Source organism: Homo sapiens, chromosome 3 (assembly GCF_000001405.40).
Source record: "Homo sapiens chromosome 3, GRCh38.p14 Primary Assembly".
Lineage (NCBI taxonomy): Eukaryota > Metazoa > Chordata > Mammalia > Primates > Hominidae > Homo > Homo sapiens.
The window spans coordinates 36,818,498-36,824,219 of NC_000003.12; the positions used below are offsets into that span (position 1 = coordinate 36,818,498).

Consider the following 5,722-nt stretch of genomic DNA (forward strand, 5'->3'; position numbering starts at 1 on the left):
AGAGCAGGACACCAAAGGATCTGATGATAATGTTCAAGTTGTACATAACAAACAGTTTAAGTGATTCCCTTTTAGTTACTGGTGGGTGGAGATGCATACCAGGTATGCCCTTGGGACCCAGGCCACGATCCACCTCCTCCAGCACATATAGCCTGACAGCCCAGCAACTCCAGAGTCTACATTTATTTTAGCAGGATTTCTGCTTCTTCAAAAATTTTGTTTCAAAGCTCTTCGAAATAAAGTTGATTCAGGTCAACTGGATGAGAAGCACAGGGCCAAGCCAGACCCAGGTGAGACCTCAAAGGACGTCTAGAGGAGGATCCTTTCCTGCCAGGCTACCACTGCTGTGGAACCCACAACACTGGCTCTCAATATTGCTTGGTAAACACCTGAGTGCAGACAGAGGGTTCTCTTCTGACCACCTCTTTGGGCCACAAATGTTTTCCCTCTCGAAACTCTCTATTTTGCTGTCTAAAAATTTCTTAGTTGTTTTTTGTGACCACAAACATAACCCAAACTATTTTAAAAAATCTAACTCTTACCAAATAATTAAGGACACCAGCAACAACAATTTGGCACTGAATTTTTGTTTCCATTTTACAAAGTAAAGAAATAAATTGAACCAAGAAGGTTTCTCTGTGGCTTGAGTTTTCAATGAGCAAGTGATCTTTGCCATATTTTTATACCAGCAAATTTAGGTAGAAACCAACCCATGTTCGTGGTATTCAGCCATGCCCCTGAGGAATACATGGATTTTCTCCCATCTTGCACTCTCCCAGACACTCCTGAAGTAAACGTTTATTTGGGAACTTGTAGAAATGTTTCTTTAATATAAATTCTTAAAAGTAGGAATGCTGGTTATATACATACAATGGAATATTATTCAGCCTTTAAAAGTTAGGAAATTCTGACCCCTGGTACAACAGGGACGGGCCTTGAGGGCATTATGGTAAGTGAAATAAACCAGTCACCAAAGGACAAACAACATATGATTCTACTTACATGAGGTAATAGAGTAGTTAATTCACAGAGACAAAGTAGAAGGGTGGCTTCCAGGGGCTGTGGGTAAGGGGAAATGGGACTGGTGTTCAGTGGGTGCCGTTTCCAGTTTGCAAGATGGAAAAGTTCTAGAGATCTGTGGCACAACAATGCAAACATACGTAACACTACTGAATTGTATACTTAAAAATGATTAAGATGGTCAACTTTATGTTATTTGTATTTTACCACAATCAAAACTAACAATAAAAAAGAGAAAAGGACTGCCCAAAACAAAAAATGGGAATGCTGGATCCAAGGGTGAGTGCATTTTCAGTTTTAACAGATATTGTTGAAGTGCACTCAAGAAAAGCTGGACTGATTTTTGTTCTCATTACAGTGTGTGAGGGCCTTTCTTGTCCACTTTTTCTCCATAATGATTTGGTAATAGCACATGGGAGAGAAAATGGGCAGAAACTGATACACTTTACTTGAAGTATAACAAAAGAATATTAGTCTGCTCAGCTATGTCCTGATCCTCAAGAGTGGCCACAAAGTAAATTGGGTTGCAGCTTTCTGCAGGGTAGGTGCAGATCTCTGCGATGCCTCCAGAAACTCCAGAGTTATTCTGGTTCTCTTCCCCCATCCCACTCCCTAACCTTAAAATGATGACTCCAAAAATCACAGACTGGCCTACATATTTCCCTTAAACAGCTGTCCTACAGAATCACTAAAACTTGGGTTAAAAATAGTCTCAGTCTCTAAAAGAAGGCTGGGTCCCTGGAACAAAGCCCTCTTAGAAATGCTCCCACCACCACAGAGGGAACACAAAAGCTGACCCATGTGGCCCCAGGGCTCCTCATCAATCCTGACCCTCCCTGCCACCGTGGAAACAGAGAACCTGCCTGAAATCTTTTCACATCCTTGGTCCATCTGTGAAACAGAAGTCGGAATACAGGGAGAATAATGCAATTACAACCAAGCTATGCGTTTGTGCCATTATTTCCATTTTATAAATTCCCAGAGCTCAGAGAATTTAAAATTTAAGTAAGGCGTCTGAATTCACACAGTCAGTATGAGAAGCCACATTTTAATCTTAGATCTTGCTCCAAAGATACTGTGATGACAGTACCCTGTTCCCCATTGCAGCCCATCCCCCTAAAATGTCCTGTCAGATATTCAGGTCACATCATCCATAAGAAGATACATTCTGAGTCTTAAACAGAGGACATAAAGTCCTGAACAGGGTTAGAATTCTGCAGCACCAGGAGGAAGGTTTCTAAACAACCCACCTCAAGAACACCTGGTACCTTGCTGATGGGTTATCCCTTCTTACTGAGCAGAGAAATGCATTTTCCTGGGTGGTGGGTGGGAGTAAGGATCAGCTGTCTGTTGATGGCAGGCCTGATTTATCTGCTACCAAAAGGAATTAAAGTCTATCGGGTTAAACAGAGTTTTCCAGTGAACTCTTCTTAAACTTTGCACCATTATGGTGGTTGTTGGGGGAGGGGAAGGTGGCTCCTCAAGCGCCCACCTGGGCTTTTGTTCTCCAATCAAAATCTCTGAAGCAGATTTAGAGTGACAAGATCAGGGGAAGCCAGTATCCATTGTCTAGGAGAGATATTTGTGGCAGAAAGGAGAGCAATTTCCTGCTGAATTGATTTACCCATCCTTCGAATCATGATCTTACAGATGACCCGGGACACAGGTTTCTACATGGTATTGTAGACCTGGGACACAACTACATGGTATTGATCCAGGAACATGTTTAAGGCATCCCAGATGCCAGATTAGGCTGCTGGAGAAGGCCAGGGAGAACTTACTATTTCATTTACTTTATGTGTGTGTGAGAGAAAGGGAGGCAGCATGGGAGAGAGACGTTGGGCATTGAGCAGATGATGATGGTTATGGCTGGAGAATCTCTGAAAGCTGGCTTCTTGTCCTGCAAGGACAAAAATGAAGGAGAAAAATGCACAAGGAGAAATGACCAAGAAGAGTAGCACAATGTTGCTTCGTTAGCTACATACCATGCCCCAGACCTGCAATAAAAGTACACATTCAAGGCCCCCGCCAATCATATTTCAGTACCCAGGAGCCCCGTGTCCAAATAGCCCTCAGCCGCTGATGTACTGGGCCCGAGCAGAGGCCAAGCATGGCTGGTTGGGGAAAAGGGGGTGCAGTCATGTAATGAGTTTAGATTTATGGCTGAAATGTTCACACACATGCCAGGGAGGTTGTTCATGGTATAGGATAAAGCAAAGGGTGGGAAGAGAAGGAGCGGGAAGAAGACACCATATCTTACCCCAGACCCCAAAAATGTTAGGGATGAGCCTGTCCGTCTGTGACAGCCAGAAGTGTTGGCTGCCAGTGGCCCAGGGGAACCAGAACCCAGGAGTTCAGTGGAAAGAACAACGTAACATTAATAAGAGGGACCCACCCCTCCTGCAGGTTGTCCCAGCAACCAAGTCTCAGCTGCTGGTGAAGGCCTGCACAACTAGGTAGTTGCCAAAGTGCACATGGGAGGTAAATGACAAACACTTGGTTCTAGGGGTGGGTTCCAGGATCCCTTCAGGGCACTAGGTTCCTAGGTACTGTGGTAATAAGATCCCACTCAGGCCCATGAATGAGGTGGATTAAGCCCTTTCTTCCAAGGCCAACTGTGTAATACATAGGATCCAGTAGTTCTGCTCTGCCACCTACCTGCTCACTGACCTCAGGAACACCCCTCACTTCACAATATATAAATGAGTAGTTCTCATTCTGTATTTTGGAGAATTGTTGTAAGATTGAAAGGTCACAGATGCAACATGCCTAAGAGTACCAGACATGCTGGAAGTCCTTGTTTTGGTTATCTTTTGCTGCATAACAAACCACCCCAAAATTTGGTAGCTTAAAACAATAATGATTTATTAATTCTCACAATTCTGGAGGTCAGAAATTTGGGCAGGTCTCAGCCGGTGGTTCTTCTGCTCCGTTTGGCCTTCGCTGGGGTCACTGACTCAGCCGCATCCTGCTGTCACCTAAGCCGAAATGTTCAGGAGGGCTTCACTTACATGAATGGTGCCTGGGGCTCCTCTATGTGGCCTCTGCACATGGCTAGCTCTGGCTTCTGCACAGCATGTTGGTCTCAGGGTATTCAAATTCTCATGTGGCAGCTGGATTACCCCAAAAGCTTCCAAGCCTCTCAAAGGCCAGATTTGGAAAGGGCACCATATCATCTCTGCTGCATTCTGTTGGCTAAAGCAAGTCTAGTCGTAGAGGAGACAGACTCCACCTCTGGATGGGCAAAGTGACACAGAGATGGGAAGGAATTGATAGTGGCCATCCCTGAAGTCTACCTAGCCCTCACCTTTTTTTTCTTTTTGAGACAGGGTCTTGCTCTGTCACCCAGGCTGGAGTGCAGTGGTACAGTCGCAGCTCACTGCAGCCTCAACCTCCTGGGCTCAGGCAATCCTTCAACCTCAGCCTCCCAAGTAGCTGGAACCATAGGCGCATGCCAGCACACATAGCTAGTTTTTTGTTTGTTTTTTTGGGTTTTGGGGGATTTTTGTTTTTTTTTGTTGTTGTTGTTGTTGTTGTTTGTAGACAGGGTCTCAACTACGTTGCCCAGGCTAGTTCAACTCTTTATTCAGTTATTAATTTGTGTTTGTTTGCTCTCTGTGTATTTTTCTACCCTTTTTTTTTTTTTCAAGAAAGTAGCTAGGACTTTAGGCTCTCTCTGTTCAGGGGTGAGGCAGCAAGGGATGTCATGACCAATAGGGACCTGTCCTTATCCTCATGGCAATACATTGGGGAGGTGAGAAAACTTCAGGGTGTGGCTCAATTGTTCATCTACAGAGGCCAGATCAGATACCTCACAGCTTCTAGTCTTGTCAAGCTTGGCTTGGAGGGAGAAGAATCACCCATCTTCTCAGATACCCTATCAGCTGGGACAGGAATGGGTTAGCAGCAGCCGTGATGAACTGAAGGAGAGAGGGCCTCCTTCATTTTCCCCATACCAGATTGGCCTCCTAATACTTCAGAGATTCCAAAGAAGCAGAGGGTCCTCCAATAATTACTTAGGCCACATTTCCCACCAAAGCAAGAATAGGGTCCAGAGTAGGATTTGAATTAAATAAAATGTGACATTTCTTACATGACTGAGATTAACATGTATTATATTACTGTTAGACCATTAAACCCCAACATTATTAAAACCATACTGAAATTAGAAGGAAACAGAGGAATATCCAATGCCACCAACATTTACAAATAAAATGGAATGCCTCACATGTGCATATAAGGTAAAACCTGGAAATTGCTTTGTTGAGATTTGAGATTGGATATTTATAGCCTTGGTCATTTTCTTAGGCCACAGGAGTGATCCTCCTGTCCAGGCCTGGAGGGCTCTTTCTGAGAGCTCCAAAGTGCAAAGTACAAGCCCTGTCCATCTGCCAGCCTCATCCCTCTCACATATCCATGAACTGTGAGCCCATCTGGCAGTACTAGACTCAGCCCCTTGGGAGGAGCCTAGAAAAGTCTCTTCGACAGCACTAGAGAGATTAATAGCTGATACACTCTGGCCACCAGTGGGAGACCTTGGTAACAACCAGAGCCTATTATGAACACCAATATTTCCTCTTTCCACACAACCTGAGAGCAGGTGCAACATAAGCTATAAGTTACACGGAGCTCGTTGGCAGTTGGTGCTGGCCAGGATGTGCAGCAAATCTGGGGCTCATTTTGAACTACAAGTGACCACTCC

At 44.5% G+C, this 5,722-nt stretch overlaps 1 long non-coding RNA gene across 1 annotated transcript, besides 1 other annotated feature; it reads right to left on the bottom strand.

The window, feature by feature from the left end:
• Window positions 1-2,052: 2,052 nt before the first annotated feature.
• On the bottom strand, window positions 2,053-4,003 carry LINC02033 (long intergenic non-protein coding RNA 2033). Its single transcript, NR_147141.1, has 2 exons — window positions 3,899-4,003; window positions 2,053-2,920 (listed from the first exon to the last, which is right to left on the bottom strand). It is a non-coding gene; the product is annotated as a long intergenic non-protein coding RNA 2033 (long non-coding RNA).
• Window positions 4,000-4,175: a silencer, noted in NCBI's record as "fragment chr3:36863988-36864163 (GRCh37/hg19 assembly coordinates)". NCBI's record gives its function as "represses an EF-1alpha promoter that drives an FKBP-Casp9 reporter gene in an ReSE screen in phorbol 12-myristate 13-acetate-treated (for megakaryocytic differentiation) K562 erythroleukemia cells {active_cell/tissue: K562(+PMA)}" and the evidence as "EXISTENCE:reporter gene assay evidence [ECO:0000049][PMID:32094911]".